General features: G+C 37.4%; 1 protein-coding gene across 9 annotated transcripts in view, besides 1 other annotated feature; it reads left to right on the top strand.

The window, feature by feature from the left end:
- SOS1 (SOS Ras/Rac guanine nucleotide exchange factor 1) overlaps nt 1-23979 on the top strand; it is a 143320-nt gene that overhangs the window by 71477 nt on the left and 47864 nt on the right. For 8 of the 9 annotated variants that reach the window (XM_047445581.1, NM_001382394.1, NM_001382395.1 and 5 more), the window contains exons 6-8: nt 2105-2248; nt 17892-18002; nt 18082-18180. In XM_047445581.1, the coding sequence (XP_047301537.1) occupies nt 2105-2248; nt 17892-18002; nt 18082-18180 (354 nt within the window). Of the gene's footprint in view, nt 1-2104; nt 2249-17891; nt 18003-18081; nt 18181-18596; nt 18621-23979 lie in introns of those variants that run through there. The other variant, XM_047445585.1, reaches the window with a different exon arrangement.
- Nucleotides 20668-20868: a silencer, noted in NCBI's record as "peak3669 fragment used in MPRA reporter construct". NCBI's record gives its function as "represses an SCP1 promoter by STARR-seq MPRAs in K562 erythroleukemia cells {active_cell/tissue: K562}" and the evidence as "EXISTENCE:reporter gene assay evidence [ECO:0000049][PMID:32103011]".

The following is a 23979-nucleotide window of genomic DNA, read 5'->3' as shown; positions in this document are numbered from 1 at the left end:
CAAAAAGCACATCAAAAGGTGTTCAACATCACTAATCATTAGAGAAATGCAAATTAAAACCATGACATACTACTACATACTCATTTGAAAGGCTAAAATGTAAATGACTTATAATACCAAAAGTTGAAATGGGTATGGAGCAACTACTTGTGGGAATATAAAATTCCCACATTACCTGAGAAAGTAAACTAGTATATTTTGGAAAACAGTTTGGTGGTTCTCTCTCTTTTTTTTTTCTTGAGACGTAGTCTCGGCCTGTTGCCCAGGCTGGAGTGCAGGGCCGTGATCTTGGCTCACTGTAACCTCTGCCTCCCAGGTTCAAGCGATTCTCCTGCCTCAGCCTCCCGTGTAGCTGGGATTACAGGTGTGTGCCACCACGCCTGGCTCATTTTTGTATTTTTAGTAGAGGCGGGGTTTCACCATGTTGACCAGGCTGGTCTCGAACTCCTGACCTCAAGTGATCTGCCAGCCTTGGCCTCCCAAAATGCTGGAATTACAGGCGTGAGCCACCATGCCTGGCCAGTTTGGCAGTTCTTTATAACAATAAACATAAACTAACCATATTGCCCAGCAATTCTACTCCTAGGTTTTTACCCAGAAGAAATGAAAACATGTCCATGCAAAAACTGGTTCATGAATGTTCATAGCGGCTTTATTTGTAATAGCCCCAAACTGGAAACAACCCAAATGTCCATCAGCAGGTGAATGTATAAACAAACTGTGGTATGACCATACAGTGGAATGCTACTCAGGAATAAAAAGAAATAGTTATGCGTGCAACAGCATGGGTGCATCTCAGAAATATAAGCAAAAAACTAGGCACAAAAGACAATATATGATTCCATTTATTTAATATTCTAGAAAAGACATGTCTATAGAGACAAAAAGGAGATCACAGGTTTCCTGGGAGTGAGGCATAGTAAGGGTTGATGGAAATGGGGGACAAAGAAACTTCTTAAGACGATGAAAAGGTACTGTATCTTGATTGTGCCGATGGTTAGAAGGGTGAATAACTACACAAAATCTCACCAAAAGAACATTTAAAATAGGAGTTTCGTATATAAACTATGCCTCAAAGTCAACTTGATAAATATAGTCACTGATAAAAAAATCAAATAATAGTAACCAATTTTAATTTAAATACAAAATGGATATGGTTGCAGATTCTACATTGCAACTAACCCTTAAGAAACTATCATTTGTTGAATTTTAGTATAGTATCATAAAAGGATAGTCACTCTATTTATATGGAAAGTCCAGAATAGGCAAATCCATAGAGACAAAGTAGATTAGTGGTTGTCAGGCACTGGGGAGAGGAAAGGAATGGAGAGTGACTTTACTGGGTATTTAGGTATCCACCTTCCAAAAAAATCATAGGTTTTCTTCTTGTGGTAATGAAATGTTCTAGAATTTGATACTGGTGATGACTGCACAACCAATATTGAAAACCATTGACTAGTAACTACACTTTTAATGAGTGAATTTTATGGTATGTGAGTTTTATCTCAATAAAAAAATTACACAGAAAAGCTAGATTTTTCGTATACTTTGAAATAATGTGTCACAACAGATTGTATGCAGAAATAGATATGAAAATCCTGCTGTCTTCTAGTACGCTATGTTAGAGATTTGCAAATGTAAAACATTGCCATTCTTCTACTAAATGTTTTTTGTTATGGCTTAAAAAAAATTTGGTTACTTTTTATAAAAGTGCTATTTATGTTAAACACATAATGGGTTTATTATTTTTAATGAATTAAATATTTTTTGAAATTTTTGGTTTTAACTTCTAATATGGTAAACATTGAAATACATAGTTATAAACAAAAGGTTTTTAGAATCTTCAATAATTTTTAAGAGTGTGAAGGAGTCCTGAGACCAGAAAGTTACAAGACCACTGACCTAGAGAAATGTATTTGCAAATTGTACACCTTTGCAGAAGGAATTCTTGAATTGTCCTTTATTCATATTTCTAAGTCATTAAAATTTTTCACTGTGTCTGACATGTTAAATTTTGTGATTATAAAATGACTTATTGGCTCAAAATTTGTTTAATATTATAATAATACAGCCTCACTGAATTAATGTGTTTTCCCCCAAACAGGATGTAGAAAATATATTTAGTCGCATAGTAGATATACATGAACTTAGTGTAAAGTTACTGGGCCATATAGAAGATACAGTAGAAATGACAGATGAAGGCAGTCCCCATCCACTAGTAGGAAGCTGCTTTGAAGACTTAGCAGAGGTAAGTACTTCAATTATATACCCGAAAAGTCTGCATAAAAGCCTACATTTACATTAAAATTGAGAGTCTTACTTCTTTCCAGCTAAAGTCATAGATACTAATTGTTGACTATTTATCTGTTATTGCTCCTTTTTCATAGGGTCATTGTCAACATATGTTTCTGTTATCTTAGCAAACAGAAAAAGTGGTCTCTTGTTAATTATAGAAAGACAGATACCGCCAAGGGGGGAGGTATTACAGCTGTCACCCAATGGCCTACTGTAAAACGTTAAGAAATGTCAATGAATGACTATTAAGTAAGAGACCACAGAACTTGCACCTGAGGTCAGATTACTTGTGTTCCAGTCTAAGCTCTGCTGCTTATTAGTTGTGTGACCAGTGGCAAGTTATTTCATTTCTTTAAACCTCCGTATCTTTATTTGTAAAATAAGAATGATAATACAGGTTGAGTATTCCTAATCCAAAAATCCCAAATATGAAATGCTCCAAAATCTGAAACTATTCCAACATGATGCTCAAAGGAAATGCTCATTGGAGCATTTCAGATTTGGGATTTTCAGACTTGGGGTGCTGAAGCAGTAGGTATAATACAAATAATCCAAAATCTGAAATCTTAAACACTTCATTTTGGGTAAGAGATACTCAATCTGTAATCTCAGGATTTTTGTGAAAAATTAAATAACCTATCTGAAATATTTACCTATCTACCTTCACATAGTAAGCTTACTCAGTATGTGATAAGTGCATTATTATTTAGAATAGGAATGAGGTAAATAGGACAATAAGGTCCAGGACCTGGGTGATTCAGATACCACGAGATAGAAAGAAAGGTAACTAACTCCTCAGATATTTCAAATGCTAAAATAACATGAGTCAGTCCTAATAAGTTAGCATTAAGAGTCATTCTGAGGTTTCTAGCATTTGCTGTGTTCTCACTCTAAAATCCACTCATTATGATACAGCATTGAGCTTGTAAAATATTTTTTTAATTAAGACTTTCAGGCAAAATAGAATGGTAAGTTCAAGCATCACCACAGCCCTTCCATTCCTGCTCCAAACACACATAAGTAATAAAGTATAAAAAGAAAAATGTGGAATATATATATAACTAGACTTGAAAACAAGATCAGGAATGGAATAGACATTCAAGGTAGTGAACTCTGGTATCTGGGTGTTCAGGCTGTTAAGGACAATGAATTGTTTCAAATGTGTTCCATGAAAGCCAGAGCAAGATTTCTTGCTCAAGTCCCTCCTTATAACAGGATGCTGGGAAAATCTGCCAACCTGGTATCTACAGTAAAGTTTTCTAAAAAGTTGTGGACTTGATGTGGGGAGACAAAAACGTTGCCTTACAATAATAACTTAACAAAGTTTCCCACAATATTAAGTCAATATGAAGCCTGAACCCGCAAAGTCATTTTAAGAGCAGGTTCTGGTTTGGAAGAGTGATCATAATGGGAGAAAAAAAGGAAACAAAACATTAAGTCTCCCACTAAGAAGCATATAATACAGAATTCCAAAAAACAAGGCAAATTCTAATTCTCAGAATGGTAATTAATAAAATCAACAATTACAACATGAATTTATTCCAGATGAAATTGATTTTGTATAATAGACATACAAAAAGTTTAAAAGAAGTTTAGGATGCTGAAAGAGATAAGTGAAGGAATATGATCCATTTATAAAGAAGATATTGTGAAACAAAAATAGGTGGAAAGGAAATGAGCAGATTTCTAGATATCAAAAGACAGAGATTTCGAGAATTAAATATACAAGCATTGAAATAACTCATGTAGTATAACATTTGCTGGACCCAGTTCAAGGATAAAATTAGTAAATTGGAAGATGGAATTGAGGACTTCACTGAGAATGTGACACACAGACCAAGATAAGAAATATGAAAGGCCAATTGAAAGTAATAAGGATAGCCAGGCATGGTGGCTCACGCCTGTAATCCCAGCACTTTGGGAGGCCGAAGCGGGCAGATCACCTGAGGTCAGGAGTTCAAGACCAGCCTGGCCAATATGGTGAAACCCCATCTCCACTAAAAATACAAAAATTAGCCGGGCGTGGTGGTACATGTCTGTAATCCCAGCTACTCGGGACGCTGAGGCAGGAGAATCACTTGAACCCAGGAGGTGGAGACTGCAGTGAGCCGAGATCGCACCACTGCCGTCCAGTGACAGAGCAAGACTCCATCTCAAAAAAGAGTAATAAGGATACACTGAGAGGTTTAATATACATCTAATAGGAGTTCCAGACAAAGAGTGATGGAGAAACAATATTTGAAAAGATAAAAATGGAAAATTTTCAAGAAATGAGGACATTAGTTCCCAAATCAAAAATGAATTCCAAATATCGTTCAGGACAAATAAAAATAAACACACAGCTAAAAACATGGCAGTGAAACTATAGAACATCAAAGATAAAGAGAAAATCTTGGGTTGGGTCCAGTGGCTGATGCCTGTAATCCCAGCACTTTGGGAGACTGAGGCAGGTGGATTGCTTGAAGTCAGGAGTTCGAGACCAGCCTGGCCAACATGGTGAAACCCCATCTCTACTAAAAAATACAAAAATTAGCGAGGCATGGTGGTGGGAGCCTGTAATCCCAGCTACTCAGGAGACTGAGACACGAGAATTGCTTGAACCTGGGAGGCAGAGGTTGCAGGGAGCTGAGTTCATGCCACTGTACTCCAGACTGGGTGACAGAGCAAGACTCTGTCTTAAAGAAAAAAAAAAAGAAAATCTTAAAAGCTGTTAAGACAAAATATTTTGCGAAGGAACTATAATTAGAATGGCAGCACGTTTCTCTTTAACAACAGAGGTTAACAGTCAGTTGAGTAATATATTTAAAGTACTAAGGTAGAATAGGATTTTCTACCCAACTACAGTATTATTCAAGAATGAGGACAAATTTTAAAATAATCAAGTTTGTAGAAGAAAGCATAAGTGTTCTTCATGACCTGTGAAATACACAAAGATTTCTTAAACAGGACACAAAAGCACTAACCATGAAAGAAAAAAATTGATAAACTGGACTTCATTAGATGTAAGAATATCCATTCATCAAAAGACAAAATTAATAGAATGAAAAGGCAAGCTATAGACTGGAAGATAATATTTGTAATATGCATAGCCAATGAAAGACTCATATCTGGGGTATATTAAGAACTCCTGGCTGGGCACGGTAGCTCATGCCTGTAATCCCAGCACTTTGGGAGACTGAGGTCAGTGGATCACTTGAGGTCAGGAGTTTGAGACGAGCCTGGCCAACATGGTGAAACCCTGTCTCTATTAAAAATACAAAATTAGGGTGGGCATAGTGGTGCATGCCTGCAATCCCGGTTACTCGAGAATCTGAGGCAGAATTGCTTGAACTTGGGAGATAGAGGTTGCAGTGAGCCAAGAGCACACCACTGTACTCCAGCCTGGGCGACAGAGCGAGACTGTCTGGAAAAGAAAACAACCCAAAAACAAAATAACTCCTACATGCCTACAAATCAATAACTAAAACTTCAGGGTTTTTTTGTTTTGTTTTGTTTTTCAGAAAATAGGCAAAAGACTTAAGTAGGTACTTCACACACAAAAAAGATGCTCAGCATTGTTACTCATCAAGGAAATGTATTTTGAAACCATGGAGCAGTTGGAAGTCTACTTGCTGGTGGGGGCTAGGGTGTAATTTGGTACAGCCACTTTGGAAAACCGTTTGGTGTATCTACTAGAGCTAAGTATACAATGTACCCTGTGACCCAGCATTTTAACTCTTGGGCATATACCAAACAAAAATGAGTGCTTATGTTGACTGAAAGACATATTGAAGAATGTTCACAGTAGGTTTATTCATAAGGGATAAATTAGTGGTATATTCACACAATAAAATGCTATCTGGCAATAAAAAAGAATAACTGCTGATAAAAGCAGCAACATAATACTGAGTATAATAAGACTCAAAGTACATATATATTGATATATGGGAAGTTCAGAAACATGTATCTTTGGAAACAGATTATTAGAGTAGTGGTTGACTGGGAAACATGAAGATTTCTGAGGTGCTAGAAATGTTCTATTTCTTTATCTGGGTGGTGGTTACAGAAATGCATTGTATACATATGTTAAAAGTCATCAAATTGCAGACTTTATGTAAAGTTATTCCTGAATTTATCAAAAATGAGGAAGAAGTGAGGAATAAAAACCATTTCAAACATACAATGACCAAGAGCGTTTACTACTTGTAGACACTCATTATAAGATGCATTGGATGGTGTTCTTTAGCAAGAAGGAAAGTTTTACTCAAAGGGAAGTCAAGAAATATAAGAACTAATGGTGAAAAAGAAATTGGTAGATGTAGGCCGGTGGCTTGCACCTGTAATCCCAGCACTTTGGGAGGCCAAGGTGGGCAGGTCACTTGAGCTCAGGAGTTCAAGACCAGCCTGGGCAATATGGTGAAACCCCATCTCTACAAAACACCAAAATTACCCAGGTGTGGTGGTGCGCACCTGTAGTCCCAGCTACTTGGGAGGCTGAGGCAGGAGAATGGCGTGAACCCGGGAGGCGGAGCTTGCAGTGAGCCGAGATCCCGCCACTGCACTCCAGCCTGGGCGACAGAGCGAGACTCCGTCTCAAAAAAAAAAAAAAAAAAAAAAAAAAAGACACTGTCTCAAAATAAATAAATAAATAAAAAATTAGAAAGTGTGTTGATAAATTTAATGAATTGCTGAATAGTTTTAAAAATAAGTTTAAAGTTTTTCGTCTTGGAAAGACTAAACTATATTTCTATGTATTAGTAACAAAATATACAGTATGTAAAGTGGACTTGTATTTGTGATAGAAGAATAACTTGAAAAATTTATAGATAACCGTATTTATTTTTAAAAACATGTACGAAAATCACCAAAAGAACAGAAATACTACCTGTAGCTTATAATGTACAGATAGGGAAAAAGGAACTATAGTAATTTTTTAAATCATTTTCACTGATAATAGGAAAGAATGAAGCAAACAAAAACAATGATAAGATAAAATGATATGATATAAAAAAATCCAACTACATTAGTAACTCAGTATATATAAACTGATGAAACTCAGCCTATTTAAAGAGAGTAATTATATTTGATTTTTAAAAATTCACTTTAGGCCTGGCGCAATGGCTCATGCCTGTAATTCCAGCACTTTGGGAGGCTGAGGTGGGTGGATCACAAGGTCAGGAGTTTGAGACCAGCCTGGCCAACATGGTGAAACCCGGTCTCTACTAAAAAAAAAATACAAAAATTAGCTGGGCATGGTGGTGTGCACCTGTAATCCCAGATACACAGGAGTCTAAGGCAGGAGAATTTCTTGAAGCCAGGAGGCGGAGTTGCGGTGAGCCTAGATCATGCCACTGCACTCCAGCCTGGGCGACAGAGCAAGACTCCGTCTCAAAAAAATGAATAATAAATAAAAATAAAATCCACTTTATGCAGCTTATAAAAGATTTTCTTAAAACAGAACCACAGAAATATTTTAAGATAAAGGGATGAAATATCATAACATAAAAACTAATCAAACCTGTATAACAATATTAATTCAAATTAACTGATAAAATTACACAAAGTAAGCACTGAGGAGGAAAAAAGAGAAACACTTCCTAATAGTAAAAGGGATACTATCATGAAGATACAACAGCCATTAATGTGTATGCACCTGATTATAAAGCCTCAAAATATAAGAAGTAGAAACTGACAGAATTATAAGAAATGAAAAAAATTGCTATCATAGGAAATTTTAACAGGTCTCCATCAGAAATTAAAAGATCAAACAAAAAAGATTAGGCCACAGAAGATTAGACTAACACATTTGATTTTACACACACACACACACACACACACACACACTCTCTCTCTCTCTCTCTCTCTCTCTCTCTCCCTCTCTCTCTCATTCCCTCACACTCAATTAGCCCTCCATATCCATGGCTTCCACCTCTGTGGATTCAACCGACTGTGGATTGAAAATATTTTTGGGGAAAAATAAGCATAATTGTATCTGTACTAACATAATGTTGAGCACATTACAATACATTACATCAGGGTACATTACAATACCCTAAACAATAAAGTATAACAACTCTTTACATAACGTACATTATATTAGATAGAAGTAATATAGGGAATCCTCTGAAGGTTATATGCAAATATACCATTTTATATCAGGGACTTGAACATCCCTAGATTTTGGTATCTGCATGGGATCCTGTAATCAATCCCTCACCGATAAAAGGGACAACAGAGTGTGTGTGTGTGTGTGCGCGCGCGCGCGCATGTGTGTGTACACAGTCATCCCTCAGTATATGTGGGGAATTGGTTCTAGGACTCCCTGCAGATACCCAAATCCACACACGCTTAAGTGCCACATCAGCCCTGCAAAACTTGCATAGGCCCTGTGGAACCCATATATACGAAAAGCCAGCCCTGAGTACGCAAGGGTTTCACATCCCACAAATACTGTATTTTTGATCCTCATTTGGTTGAAAAAAATCTGCATATAAGTGGATCTATGCAGGTCTAACCCACGGGTTGTTCAAAGGTCAGCTGTATACATCTTAATACTGTTGCCTTGAGGATTAAGTTTCAACTATAAATTTTGCAGAGAGAAGTTTACAGTTTTACACATTTTTTGAAAAAATAGGAATAATTAAAAATGAATGAGTTAAGCTTTCAAACCAAGAAAGAAGAAAGATAACGTGATACACCTAAGAGAATAATATGTAAGGAAGTAACGGAACAGAATTAATGAATTAGAAATTGATATAACAAAAGTTCTCATGGCTGATCAACGGGAAAAGGAAACACACATACTAGGTGTGATCTTGGCTCACTGCAACCTCCGCCTCCCAGGTTCAAGCAATTCTCATGCCTCAGCCACCCCAGTAGTTGAGATTACTGTGCCACCACTTTTGGCTAATCTTCATATTTTTAGTAGAGACAGGGTTTTGCCATGATGGCTAGGCTGGTCTCCAACTCTTGGCCTCAAGTGATCTACCTGCCTCGGCCTCCCAAACTGCTGGTATTACATACGTGAGCCACCGTACCAGGCCTGTTTTTTAAATCATGAAAGAACACTAAGATCCACTTCAAAATGTTTTAGAACTGTAATGAAATAACCTTTAAAATATGTAAAAGAGTAGCATCAATGTCCTAAGTTAAAAAACATTAAAAAATGAATAGTCAAAAGTGTATTTCAACAAATGACTTGCGGCATAGACCAGGTGTTGTGAATGCTGTGGTTTCAATGTGTCCCCATATTTTATGTATTGGAAGTTTAATCTGTATATATTGATTGGAGGTGGGGCCTGTGGAGGTAATTAGGATTAGATAAGGTCATCAGGGTGGGGTGGGGCCCCCATGATGTCAGGCCTGTTTTTATAAAAAGAGAAAGAGACCTGAGCTGACATGCTGTAGTTCCCTTGCCATGTGATGCCCTGCACCGCGTCAGGACTCTGCAGAGTCCCTACCAGCAAGAAAGCCCTCACCAGATGCACCTGCCTGTCTTGACCTTCTAGCCTCCAAAGCTGTGGTAAATAAATTTCTTTATGAATTACCCAGTCTCAGGTATTTAGTTATAGCAACAGAAAACAGCATGTGACAATGAGTTTTGCCAATCTTCAGGAAACAGTTACTCTTTTGCAAATTGTTACAATGAATAGAGACATGAAGGGTAACAAGTTTATCAGGATTGTATGAATACATTATCAAAACTACATAACGACAGTAAAGAAAAAACTATGAGACATTCTCAGATATCAATGAAATGGCAATGAAAAATCAGTTTATGATACAATAAAACATATGTCTATATATCTTATGATGTTTACTCTTATGTGGTTTGACATTTTAAAGTTTTAATGTAGTATTCTACTTTAGTAGGTTAAAATCTCAAGAAAAAGGCTTTCTTAAAATTAAACATTCACTCATGAATTTCTTTAAAATGTTGGGCAAACAAGCAATAGAAGGGAACTTTCTTAACCTAATAAAGGACATTTACTAAAAGTCTGTAAGAGATATAATAATAGTTAAACTATAGCAAAACTAAGAAACTAGAAAAGAATACCACTATCACCACTTCTATTCACTCTAATAGCGAGTACTACCCAATACAAAAAGACAGAAAAGGAATAGACAAGACAAAGTTGTCCTATTTGTAGTCAATATAATTATCTATATAGCAAACCCAAGAAAATTTGTATAATATTAAACTAGTTGGCAAGTTCATTATAGCTATTGGATAAAAGATCAGCCTGTAAAAATTGGTAGCATTACTGTGCTCAGTTACAGTCCATTGAATATATAATATTTTTAAAGACTGCATTCACTATAGAAATAAGACCATAAAGTACCTGGAAATAAACCTGACTAAAGATACACAGGACCTTTGTTTTTAAAAAAAAAAAAAAAAAAAATCATAAAATTAGCTGGGCACAGTGGCTTACTCCTGTAATCCCAGCACTTTTGGAGGCTGAGGCGGGCGGATCACAAGGTCAGGAGTTTGAGACCAGTCTGGCCAACATGATGAAACCCCATCTCTACTAAAAGTACAAAAAATTAGCTGGGCGTAGTGGCGGGCATCTGTGATCTCAGCTATTCAGGAGGTTGAGGCAGGAGAATCACTTGAACCCAGGAGGCGGAGGTTGCAGTGAGCCGAGATTGTGCCACTGCACTCCAGCCCGGGTGACAGAGTGAGACTCCATCTCAAAAAATAAATAAATAAATAAATACATAAAATTAGATTCACAAGGAAGATCTGAATAAATGGAAATATATACTATGTTCAGGGATGGAAAGACTCAGTACTGTAATGATACCAGTTGTCCCCCAGATAATCTACAAATTTAATGCATAGCAAGCTGATCCTAAAATTCACATGGTAAGAATGAGGAGCAAAAATAACAATTTTGAGGAAGAACAAGTTGAGGGGACTTGTTCTTGTCCCCTTAAGTACTTGTTAGGTAAAGTACCTGTTAGATAAAGTCTTGCCACATATTAAGACTTACTATGAAGCCAGAGTAAACAAGAGTGTAGTACTGGTGCAGGTAACAATTAGGTAGCAGAACAGAATAAAGAGCCCTGAAAAAAATATATACATAGATACTTCTCCTGAAATGTGACAGATATTACATTAATCAGTAGAGAAAGAGTGAACTCATTAATAAATGACACTGGGTCATACCTGGTTAAATGGAAAAAAATTCATTCCATAACACATAATTCACAGAAAGTACTCAACAGATTAAAAATCTAAAAATGAAGAGTAGAACTTCAAAAGAAAATATAGGAGAACATATTTATGACTTTGACATAGGAAGGTTTGTTAACACATAGAGTAAACCAGAAAGGAAGAGATTAAGTTTTAAAACTTCTGTTCAAGAAAAGACACCATAGTTATAAGGGAAGCACAAATGAATGAAGTTGGAACCATGTACCATATCCGAAAATTAACTCAAAATGGATCAAAGACAATGTAAGATCTAAAGCTATAAAACTCTTGGAAGAAAACAGGTCTGAATCTTCAATTTGGCAAAGGATGCTTAGATAATGCCAAAAGCACAAGCTATAAAAGAAAAAGTAGATAATTTGGACTTCTTCAAAATTAAAAACTGTGTTTCAAAGGACACCATCAAGAAAGCAAAAGACAGCCTACAGAAAGGGAAAAAATATTTGCAAATGATATTTCTGATAAGAGTAGTATTCAGTGTATATAACAAAAAGATAACCCAATTTAAAAATGGGCAAAGGATTTGAATAGATATTTCTCCAATGAAGATATATAAATGGCCAACATGGTACATTAAAAAATGCTCAACATCATTAGAAATTAGAGAAATGCAAATCAAAACCTCTATGAAGCCTGAGCAACATAGTGAGACCCTGTCTTTACAAAAATTAGAAAATTTGCCCAGGATGGTGGTGTGCACCTGTGGTCTCAGCTACTCGGGGGCTGAGGTGGGAGGATTGCTTGAGCCCAGGAGGTTGAGGCTGCAGTGAGCCATAATCACATGATTGCACTCCAGCCTGGGTGACAAGGTTAGACTCCATCTCTAAAAGAAAAAACATTATGCAGTACCACTTCACATCTACTAAGATGGCTAAAATTTAAATAAAGGGAAAGTAACAAGTGTTCATGAAGATGTGGAGAATTTGAGACCCTCGTATTTTGCTGATAGAAATATAAAACAGAGCAACTGCTTGGCAGACAGTTTGCTGGTTTCTCAAAAAGTTAAACAGAATTACCATATGATCCAGAAATTTCACTCCTAGGTATATACCCAAAAGAACAAAAAGCAGAGATTCAATCCTATACTTGTATGCCAACATTTATAGCAGCATTATTCACAATAGCCAAAAGCTGGGAACAACTCACATGTCCATCAACAGATGAATGGTTAAATTAAATGTATATGGTAAATACATTACAGTAGAATATACAGTGGAATATAATTCAGCTTAAAAATGGATAAAATTCCAATACATGCTACAACATGGATGAACCTTGGAAACGTTATGCTAATAAAATAAGCCAAACACAAAAGGACAATATTGTATGTTTCCACTAATATGAGGTAACTGGAGTAGTCAAATTCATAGAGACAGAAAATAGAAGTTACCAAGGGTTACGGGGAAGAGGCAATGATCAGTTACTGTTTAATGGATACAGAGTTTCAGTTTGGGATGATAGAATAGTTCAGATCTGGAAATGGACCGTTGCACATTGTCTATTAATGCCACTTAATTGTACACGTAAAAATGGCTAAAATGGAAATTTTCATGTGTATATTTTACCACAATATAAAAAAAATTAGGCCGGGCACAGTGGCTCATGCCTGTAATCCCAGCACTTTGAGAGGCCAAGGCGGGCGGATCACAAGGTCAGGAGATCGAGACCATCCTGGCTAACACGGTGAAACGCCATCTCTACTAAAAAATACAAAAAAAAAAATTAGCCGGGTGTAGTGGCGGGCGCTTGTAGTCCCAGCTACTCGGGAGGCTGAGGCAGGAGAATGGTGTGAACCTGGGAGGCGGAGCTTGCAGTGAGCCGAGGTCACGCCACTGCACTCCAGCCTGGGCGACAGAGCAAGACTCCATCTCAAAAAAATAAAAAATAAAAAAATAAAAGGGGGTGTTGAAACATGCTACAACATGGATGAACTTTGAAAATGTTATGCTGAACACAAGAAGCCAGTCACAAAAGACTACATATTGTATGATTCCATTTACATGTAATATCCAGAATAGGCAAATCCATGGAGACAAAAAGTAGATTTATGGTTGCCTAGGGCTGAGGGGTTTAGGGGATTGGGAGGTAATAGCTGAAGAGTGTGTGATTTCTTTGAGGGGGTGATAAAAATATTCCAAAATAGATTATGATGGTAGTTGCACAATTCTGTTAAACTAAAAATAATCTCATTTTGCCCATTAAATGGGTGAAGTGAATGTATTAGAATTTTATCTCAATAAAGCTTTTCTAAAAACTATAAATTAAAATGTAAAGTCAAGCTAATAAAAATGGTCAAAAGCTATTAATAAACAATTCTCAGAAGAGAAGATACAAATAAATGGCGCACAACCATATAAGTAGATTCTCAACCTTACTAGTAATCAGGGAAATACATATAAAAATAACACTGGCATAGTCTCACAACATCAGGCTAACAAATTTTAAGTCTGATAGTATCAAATGTTGACAAGGAAGTGGACAACTGGGAAAAATCACTGCTGCTAAGTATATAAATCGATATAATCACTTTGGAAAGCAACTTCCCCTTCTAGTTTACATGCTCTAAAAAATATTCATGCATATGTGCACACTAAGTTATACAGGCATACCTCAGAGATATCGTGGCTTAGGTTTCAGACTACTGCAATAAAGTGAATGTCACAATAAAGCAAGTCACTATTTTTTTGGCTTACAGTGCATATAAAAGTTATGTTTACACTATCCTGTGGTCTAGTAAGCATGCAGTAGCATTATGTCTAAAACAACATATATACCTAGATTTAGAAATACAGCTAAGAAAATGCTAATAATCCTCTCAGCCTTCAGTGAGTCATAATCTTTTTGCTGGTGAAGGGTCTTGCCTTGATGTTGATGGCTGCTGAAGGTTGGGGTGACTGGCAGTTTAAATAATAAGCAACAATGGGGTTTGACACAACTGTTCGCTCTTTCTTTTATGAAAGATTTCTGTGTAGCTGGTGATGTTGTTTGATAGCACTTTACCCACAGTAGAAATTCTTTCAGTATTGGAGTCAATCCTCTCAAACTCTGCCACCGTTTTATCAACTAAGTTGATGTAATATTCTAAGTCCTTTGTTGTCATAAAAATGTTCATAGTATTTTCACCAGGAGTAGGTTCCATCTCAAGAAACGACTTTTTTTTTTTTTTTTGAGACGGAGTCTCATTTTGTTGCCAGGCTGGAGTGCAGTGGTGTGATCTCGGCTCACTGCAACCTCTGCCTCCCAGGTTCTAGCGATTCTCCTGCCTCAGCCTCCCGAGTAGCTAGGACTACAGGTGTGTGCCACCATGCCCAGCTAATTTTTGTATTTTTAGTAGAGAGAGGGTTTCACCATGTTGGCCAGGATGGTCTCGATCTCTTGATCTCGTGATCTGCCTGCCTTGGCCTCCCAAAGTGCTGGGATTACAGGCGTGAGCCACCGCGCCCAGCCAAGAAACCACTTTCTTTGCTCATCCATAAGAAGCAAATTCTCCATTCAAGTTTTATCATAAACTTGCAGCAATTCAAGTCACATCATCAGGCTCCACTTCTAATCCTATTTCTCTTTCTATTTCCACCACATCTGCAGTTACTTCCTCCAACTAAAGTCTTGAACTTTTCAAAGCCATCCCTGAGAGTTGGAATCAACTTCTTCCAAACTCCTGTTAATGTGGATATTTTGACCTTTCCCATAAATAACAAATGTTCTTACTGGCATCTAGAATGGTGAATCCTTTCCAGAGGGTTTTCAGTTGATTTTATCCAGCTGCAGCAGAGGAATCACTATCTATGTCAGTTACAGCCTTACAGAACATATTTGTGAAATAATAAAACTTGAAGGTCAAAATTATTCCTTGATCCATGGGCTGCAGAATGGATGTTGTGTTAAGAGACTTGAAAACAACATTAATCTCCTTGTATATCTCCATCAGAGCTCTTAGGTGTCTAGGTGCAATGTCAATATTTTGAAAGAAATTTTTTTTTTTCTGAGCTGTTGGTCTCAATAGTGGGCTTAAAGTATTCAGTAAACCATGTTGTAAACAGTTGTACTATCATCCAGGCTTTGCTGTTGCATTTATAGGGCACACCCAGAGTAGATTTAGCACAATCCTTAAGGGCCCTAGGATTTTCAGAATGGTAAGTGAACACTGGCTCAATAGTAATGGTGAAGAAGTTTGAAATATTTCGACACAGAGACAAAATTAGCACATGCTGTTGGAAAAATGGGGCCAAAAGACTTGCTTCACACAGGGTTGCCACAAATCTTCAACTTGTTAAAAAAAAAAAAGGCAATATATGCAAAGCACAATAAAGTGAAGCACCATAAAGTGAAGTGTACCTGCATACCAAGTGCAAATTACAGAATTTTTTTTTATAATTGTGAAAAACAAGAAACAGTTATCTATCAGTGGAGAATGGATTAGAGAAAACTGATATATTCATACAGTAGAATATTATAGTTTTAAAATAAACTGAAAGGAACTGTATGAATCAAAATAGATGAATCTTGAAAAATTTTTGAGTATAAAAGGCAACTTATAGATGAATGTATACATTATGATATTTGGCATATGATCATTTCTGAATTGGAAGAGACCTAAGCTATAAGCATCTCTTCACATTTTTAGTCTTCTCTTCCGTCCACTGTATTCATGCCTGACTCCATCCTCTTGTTGTTTTTGAAACTTTACTATCAATTTCTGTAAAACGTAATAGACTCCAATTTCTGGTGTTATATTATGATAGCAATTTTTAGTTGAGAAGAAAGTTGAAGGAGTTAAAAATTGGGAAGTCAACTAAGAGCCAGCTCAAGGAATCCAGTATGACTTGGAAGTTTACATGCCATATTGCAAAATGCAACAACCAGAACTCACGTCTTCTGATTTCTGATCTGGTGGTATTACTGTTCAATCATTTCTTAAAAAGCAATCTGAGGCCAGGCGCAGTGGCTCACACCTGTAATCCCAGCACTTTGGGAGGCTGAGGCAGGAGGATCACTTGAGTCCAGCAGATCAAGACCAGCCTGGTCAGGCCGGGCGCGGTGGCTCACACCTGTAATCCTAGCACTTTGGGAGGCCGAGGCGGGCGGATCACGAGGTCAGGAGATAGAGACCATCCTGGCTTACACGGTGAAACCCTGTCTCTACTAAAAATACAAAAAAAAATAGCCGGGCGTGGTGGCGGATGCCTGTAATCCCAGCTACTCGGGAGGCTGAGGCAGGAGAATGGCGTGAACTTGGGAGGCGGAGCTTGCAGTGAGCCGAGATCGCGCCACTGCACTCCAGCCTGGCCGACAGAGGGAGACTCCGTCCCAAAAAGAAAAAACAAAAAACGACCAGGGTGGTCAACATGGCAGAAACCCTGTCCCTACAAAATACACAAAAAATGTAACCAGGCGCGGTGGTGTGCGCCTGTGGTCCCAGATACTCAGGAGACTGAGGTGGGAGGATTGTTTGAGCCCAGGGGGCAGAGGTTGTAGTGAGCCAAGATTGCACTACGGCACTCTAGCCTGGGTGACAGAGTAAGACCAAGATCCTGTTTCAAAAAAAAAGCAATCTGAAAAATAACATTAAGGGTGATTTAATTCATAACAACCTTTCGTTGTTTCATTCCCTTCTGCCTTTTTCTACTATGCTCCTCCACTAGATGTCCTATTCCTCTTGCTAGAATTACCCTTTATGGAAATGAGCTCATGCTAGAATCTAGAGCACCATTTTCATAATAGTTTTATACAAGATAGAAGAGTAGCGACTCTATTTCTCCTGCTAAAATCAAGATACCTACTCTCTTTTTCCCCAGAAATCTTCAAAACCAGTAGATTCTGGTCTTTTTAACTGAGCCATTAGAATTTAGTTTATTGATTGGTGATATTAATGATGGCAAAATTTTGGGCAGTTCGGATTTTGTTTAATTGTTTTGTGAAATTATCACAATGAATTTTAGATGACATGAACTGTTACTTCTGGTTTATAGAATACGAAAGTACATGTCCACCACTGAGAACTATAAAAACATGTCTGGCTTCAGTATTCTAAATGTTTATACCTTACCTAGTTGTACATATCTATATTCTTTGTTGTTGTCAAGTTAAGATTTGTTTTCTAGAACCAAAAGTCTGCCCACTCTTATGGCCATGTTTGTTGATAATACTCTACTGGAAACCTTTAATGAGAGCTGTTATAACATATAAGGATTTTATTATTCATCAGAAAGAACTGATTTACTCTCTTACTTGAGAATATTGGGATCTCTTCTATTAAAATTATAATTAGTAGTCATATAATTTTTGCTTAGAGACTTTCAAAGACATACATAATTGTGCTCGCATAGTCGTGCCCCATAATTAAATCTTTCTGTGTTTGTAATGGTAAATTATTTATGTTTTACCTTCTTTATTTTCTAAGGAACTGGCATTTGATCCATATGAATCGTATGCTCGAGATATTTTGCGACCTGGTTTTCATGATCGTTTCCTTAGTCAGTTATCAAAGCCTGGGGCAGCACTTTATTTGCAGGTATAGTAATTTTTAAATGAAGATGTACAATGTCTGAAAAGTAAACTTAAAAAAAAAATTAAATCACTTTTTTTTCCAGTCAATAGGCGAAGGTTTCAAAGAAGCTGTTCAATATGTTTTACCCAGGCTGCTTCTGGCCCCTGTTTACCACTGTCTCCATTACTTTGAACTTTTGAAGGTAAGAAAACTCTTTATTGTTATTTGTAACATATTCAAGTGTGAATTTTTTTTTTTGCTACTTCATTTGTAAATTATTGTGTGAGTACCCTGCACATTAGTGTGTTTCTGTTTTCTTTTTCCAGTCAAGAAGCAAATGGAAATCAGTCTGCAAAAGAGTAGCATATTTTCTCGTCTTAGTAGTGAATTTTATTTTTGTTGTTTTTTAATTTTTTTGTTTTTTGTTTTTTCTTTTTTTTATTTTTGGTTTTTTAGTGAATGTTAAAGCAATTGTCAGATATTTTTGTCTTGTACCTTTACTTTTTGTTTACATGGCTGATTCTTTGAAAACAACCTTGGATTTATGCATCGCAGTTTCCATTTGGGGACCTCAGCAGACTCAGGGACTCAGTGTGAGGATAAGGGAGCCAGTGTGAGGATAAGGCCAAAGTAATGGGGAAGGTTAGTTTACCTGACTTTCATAGCTCAAGTTTGCAACTATCTGTATTAAACTGTTTATCATTACTTTAGAAACAATAAATTTCTGTAATCTCAGTAAAAATTGCCCATTTGATCACAGTTCAAAATACTAAGCACTGACTGAAAGGAAAGGGGTTGTCTCTTTTTTCTTTTCCTGTTATATACTGAAATTAAATAAAAGTCTGTATAAATTATAATTCAATAGTGTAGCTCAAAGTGATATTCTCTCTACCTTTAATGGACTAGCCTTGTAAAGACAAAAGAAGACATGCATTAATAGCGTTATTATTTCTTTAGCTTTCAAATGAGTATTTGTTTCATCAAAGAAAACTTCTGTTTAGTATCATGATTCTTTCACAGAGAATATATTACTGGAAATCATATTTATAGTTTGCAGATGATAAAATGGGCTCTCTGTAATGAATCAATGAATGAATAGAAGGTCTGTGAATTTATTAACAGTAAACTGGAGGAACTCTCATCCTTACATTTTCTCAGGTCTCTGCACTGCATAGTAGTCATTTGGAATTCAGTTTGATTTCTCAATTAGGAATGTTTACATTGAGAAAGGACTAAGGGAGTTAAAAGGTATTTTTAATCACTAGGCAGAAATGACAAAGCTCTTAGCAATAGCATACCATTTAAGGTCTTTGGAAATACAGGATGAGTATCTTAAGAGGATAATCAAGAGAGGAAGCATTTAGTATGTAAAATCTTTAGAAAGAATTCATTATTACTAACTATAGTTATAATGGGACATTTACACACTGTTTTGTTATATAGAATTTTTCTTTGTAATGGTTTCTCTAATAACGGGATTTTTTTTTTTTTAACCTGAGCCTGTAATGAAATTCAGAAAGATTCAAAGGCCATATAAAATCTTAAGGCCGTTATCAGTTTATAAATAAAAACAAGAATGCCAGGTGTGTTGGCACACGCCTGTAGTTCCAGCACTTTGGGAGGCTAAGACAGGAGGATTGCTTGAGCCCAGGTGTTCAAGACCAGCTTGGGCAACATGGCAAGACCCTGTCTCTACAAAAATAGAAATAAAATTAGCCAGGAATGGTGGTGCACACCTGTGGTTCCAGCTACTCAAAAGGCTGGGCAGGAGGAACACTTGAGCTCAGGAGGTCGAGGCTGCAGTGAGCCATGACCACGCCTCTGTACTCCAGCCTGAGAAACAGAGCAAGCCCCTGTCTCAAAAATACAAAACAAAACAACCTTCCCCTCCAAATGAACCCAAGAAGCTTTGATGAAAGTTCAGAAGGCTATAAAACCCAATCATCTTAATAATATAAAAGAAATTTTTACTCCTTCAAGTGTAGGCAATTAAAATTTCTAAAATTATAACTTACATTAATAGAATTTTAATAAGTGCATCATTTAGCAATTTAAGATTTCTACTGATTTAAGCATGTGTATCCCTTGTTCGTATTACTGCCTAAGTTATATTGCAAAGTTAGCAGTATATTGGGCAGGAAATTTTGTCTAATTAGTCCACAAGACTCTCATCACTTTTTTTTTTTTTTTTTCTGCACACCTATAATCCCAGATACTCAGGAAGCTGAGGCAGGAGAATCACCTGAACCTGGGAGGCGAAGGTTGCAGTGAGCCAAGATCACGCCATTGCACTTCAGCCTGGGCAAAAAGAGCAAAACTCCATCTCGAAAAAAAAAAAAAGAAGAAAAAGAATTTCCTAGCAGCCCTGGATATGCCAAATGTGTTCAGGGTTCCATGGGTATCCCGGTTCATATTACTGCCTCTTCGCTTGTTCTTTTTTCCCATTTATCTGGAATTCCTCTTCTACCCTCTCCAGGCTGGAGTGCAGTGGCATGATCTCAGCTCACTGCAACCTCTGCCTCCCAGCTTCGAGCGATTCTCCTGCCTCAGCTTCCCAAGCAGCTGGGATTAATTAAAGGTGTGTGCCACCACAGCCGACTAATTTTGTATTTTTAGTAGAGACAGGGTTTCACCATGTAGGCCAGGCTGGTCTCGAACTCTTGACCTCAGGTGATCCGCCCACCTCAGCCTCCCAAAAGTGCTAGGATTTCAGGTGTGAGTCATCATGCCCAGAGTGAGTTCCTTCCTTTCTTTACATACATCTCTTTAGAGAACTTGTTCCATTTTTATTGTCTGCCTTATCATTCAACTGTTTGCTCTGTGAAGAATGGAGCCCTATTATCTTTGAATTCTCATACCTATTACAGTGTCTGGCATTTAGGCTTTCAATAAATGCTTGTTAAAAAATGAGTGGCAAAAAATATATATACATTTTCCTTTAAATTCTTATGTCTTATATTTTAAAGAAAGTTTAACTGTAAATTTTATATAATTACCTTTATTTTGGAAACTTAGGTAGAATGCCTTAAACTTTACAAAGTCAAAAGATAAGTTTAGCTATTAATAGTATAAGACTGTTGAACACAAAGAAACAATAAAATGGTGGTTACCAGAGGCTGGAGGGTAGGGGAGTAGGGAGATACTGGTCAAATGACACAAAATTTCAGTTAGGAGGTGTAAATTCAAGAGATCTATCGTACATCATGGTAACTACAGTTAATAACAATACATTGCATATTTGAAAACTGCTAAGAAAGTAGATATTGTGTTCTCACCACGAAAAAAAGTATGTGTTAATGCACATGTTTTAAGTAGCTTGATGTAGCCATTCCAGATTATATACATCTATCAAAAGATCCTATTATATACCATAAACATATGATTTTTACTTGTTGATTAAAAAATAAATTAAAAATAGTGTGACTTTAATGCTGCTGACACTGAAAAAATACTCTTTCCTTCAGCAGTTAAAGATAGCAGTCAAGTCTTCACTCTTTAACTTGAAAAGTTAAAGTTAATTTTTTTATGAAGTAAAAAAACTTCCTTTGTGCCCTTTTGAAAACCATATTGCTTCAATAATGTGATTTTTGTATGTGAAGTTTAATTTACTTCATTAAACAAATTTAGATTTCTTTCTTGGGGCTAAGTAAATATATTGACCAGTATTTTATTTTATTTTTATTTTATTTTGAGACAGAGTCTCACTCTGTCGCCCAGGCTTGAGTGCAGTGGCAAGATCTTGGCTCACTGCAAACTCTGCCTTGCGGTCTGAAGTGATTCTCCTGCTTCCCAAGTAGCTGGAATTACAGACGCCCGCCACTACGCCTGGCTAATTTTTGTATTTTTAGTAGACAAAGGGTTTTGCCATGTTGGCCAGGCTGGTCACGAACTCCTGACCTCAAGTGATCTGCCCACCTCGGCCTCCCAAAGTGCTGGGATTATAGGTGCGAGCCCCCACACCTGGCCTGACCAATATTTTAAAGGTTAGCAAATCAGTACATGTTTGGTTCCACAAAGGTATTAACTTTTTCTTTGTTCCTTATACATGGGATTTTATCTCCCTCTCCCCAAGATGCACCCAAACAAACCTTAGAAAAAACCATCCAGGATGACTTTGAATTCCCTAGAGAATTGCCTATTCTTTTTCTTGTATGCTGGGTCCTTGTAACCTAGGGGAAAGTAAGTTTCCCTCTATTTTAAAATTCAGGTTGAAGTCTATGTTGTTGTGTGTACATGAGTGTATTTGGTTTCCTAAGGCTGCCACAGCAAAGTACCACGAAGTCAGAGGCTTATAAACAACAGAAATTTATTCTTTCACAGTTCTGGAGGTGAGGAATCTGAAATCAGGGTGTGGGCAGGGCCACACTTTCTCTAAAGGCTCTAAGGAAGAATCCCTGCTGCCTCTGCCTAGCTTCTGGTGGACCCCAGCGATTCTTGGTGGTCCTTGGCTTATAGATGCCATCACTCCCGTCTTTGCCTCCATCTGCACATCAGCTTCTTCACAGCTTCACGTTCTTCTCTATGTGTCTGCATCCAAATCTCGCTTTCCTTTCTCTTACAAAGACACCAAGTCAGTGGATTTAGGGCTCACCCTAATCCAAGATGATCTCATCTCAACTTGATTACATCTGCCAAGATCCTATTTCCAAAGAAGATCACATTCATAGGTACCAGGGGTTAGGACTTGAATACATCTTTCATGGGGGACACAATTCAACCCTTAACAATAAGTTTTTGGTACACTATAAAAATTAAATTTTTGTTGTTCTGATTCTCCAGCATATACACTGGCTACATTGGCTTTATACGCTGGCTTCCCCCTAACACCCCCATCCCTCTTTTTTAGAGATAGGTCTCGCTCTGTCACCCAGGCTGGAGCGCAGTGGTATGATCATAGCTTGCTACAGTCTGGAACTCATGGGCTCAAACAATCTTCTCATCTCAGCCTCCCAAGTAACTGAGACTACAGGCATGCACTACCATGCCCAACTAATTTTTTTAAATTATTTTTTTGTAGAGACAAGGTCCCATTTTGTTGCCCAGGCTGATCTCAAACTCCTGGGCTCAAGGGATCTTCCCACATTGGCCTCCGAAAGTGCTGGGGTTAATGGCATGAGCCAATGCACCCAGCCTTTTCTTTCCCCCTCTTTCGCTTTTTTTTTTTTTTTTCTGTTTTCTTTTTTTGTGTTAGGCCAATTAATCATTTCATCCTGATCTTATATTTTTTATTTTTATTTATTTATTTATTGAGATGGAGTCTTGTTCTGTCACCCAGGCTGGATTGCAGTGGTGCTATCACAGCTCACTGTAACCTCGACCACCTGGGCTCAAGTGATTCCTCAGCCTCACAAGTAGCTAGGACCGTAGGCACATGCCACCACGCCTGGCTAATTTTTTAAAATTTTTATTTGTAGAGATGAGACGTCGCTCTGTTGCCCAGGGTGGTCTCAAACTTCTGGGCTCAAGGGCTTCTCCCACCTAGACCTCCCAAAGTACAGGGATTATAGGCGTAAGCCACCGAGTCTGGTGGAGAATCAATGGAGGTTCTCTCTAGTGTACATTCCCTTGAACCAGCTTTCTAAATTCAGAAATTCTTATCTAGAAACCATCGGCTCAAAGCTACATGGTATTGGAGCTGACCACAAATGTTGAATGTCTAAAGTTAAACATAGGATAGCGTACCACAGGAGCCATTGTAAACAAACAGCTAACTATTGTATTACTCCAATTTTTAATTTAATTTTTTGGTTTTGGTGTTTGGGGTTTTGTTTTTTGTTTTGTTTTGTTTTTGAGACAGGGTCTCACTCTGTCACCCAGGCTGGAGTGCAGTGGTACAGTCACTGCTCACTGCATCCTCAACCTCCCAGGCTCAATTAATCCACCTACCTCAGCCTCCTGAGTAGCTGGGACTCTGGTTGTGCGCCACCATGCCTGGCTAATTTTATTTTCTGGTAGAGACGGCATCTGGCTATGTTGTCCAGGCTAGTCTTGAACTCCTGGA

Source organism: Homo sapiens, chromosome 2, assembly GCF_000001405.40.
Source record: "Homo sapiens chromosome 2, GRCh38.p14 Primary Assembly".
NCBI lineage: Eukaryota > Metazoa > Chordata > Mammalia > Primates > Hominidae > Homo > Homo sapiens.
This window is presented reverse-complemented; position numbering and strand designations above follow the sequence as displayed.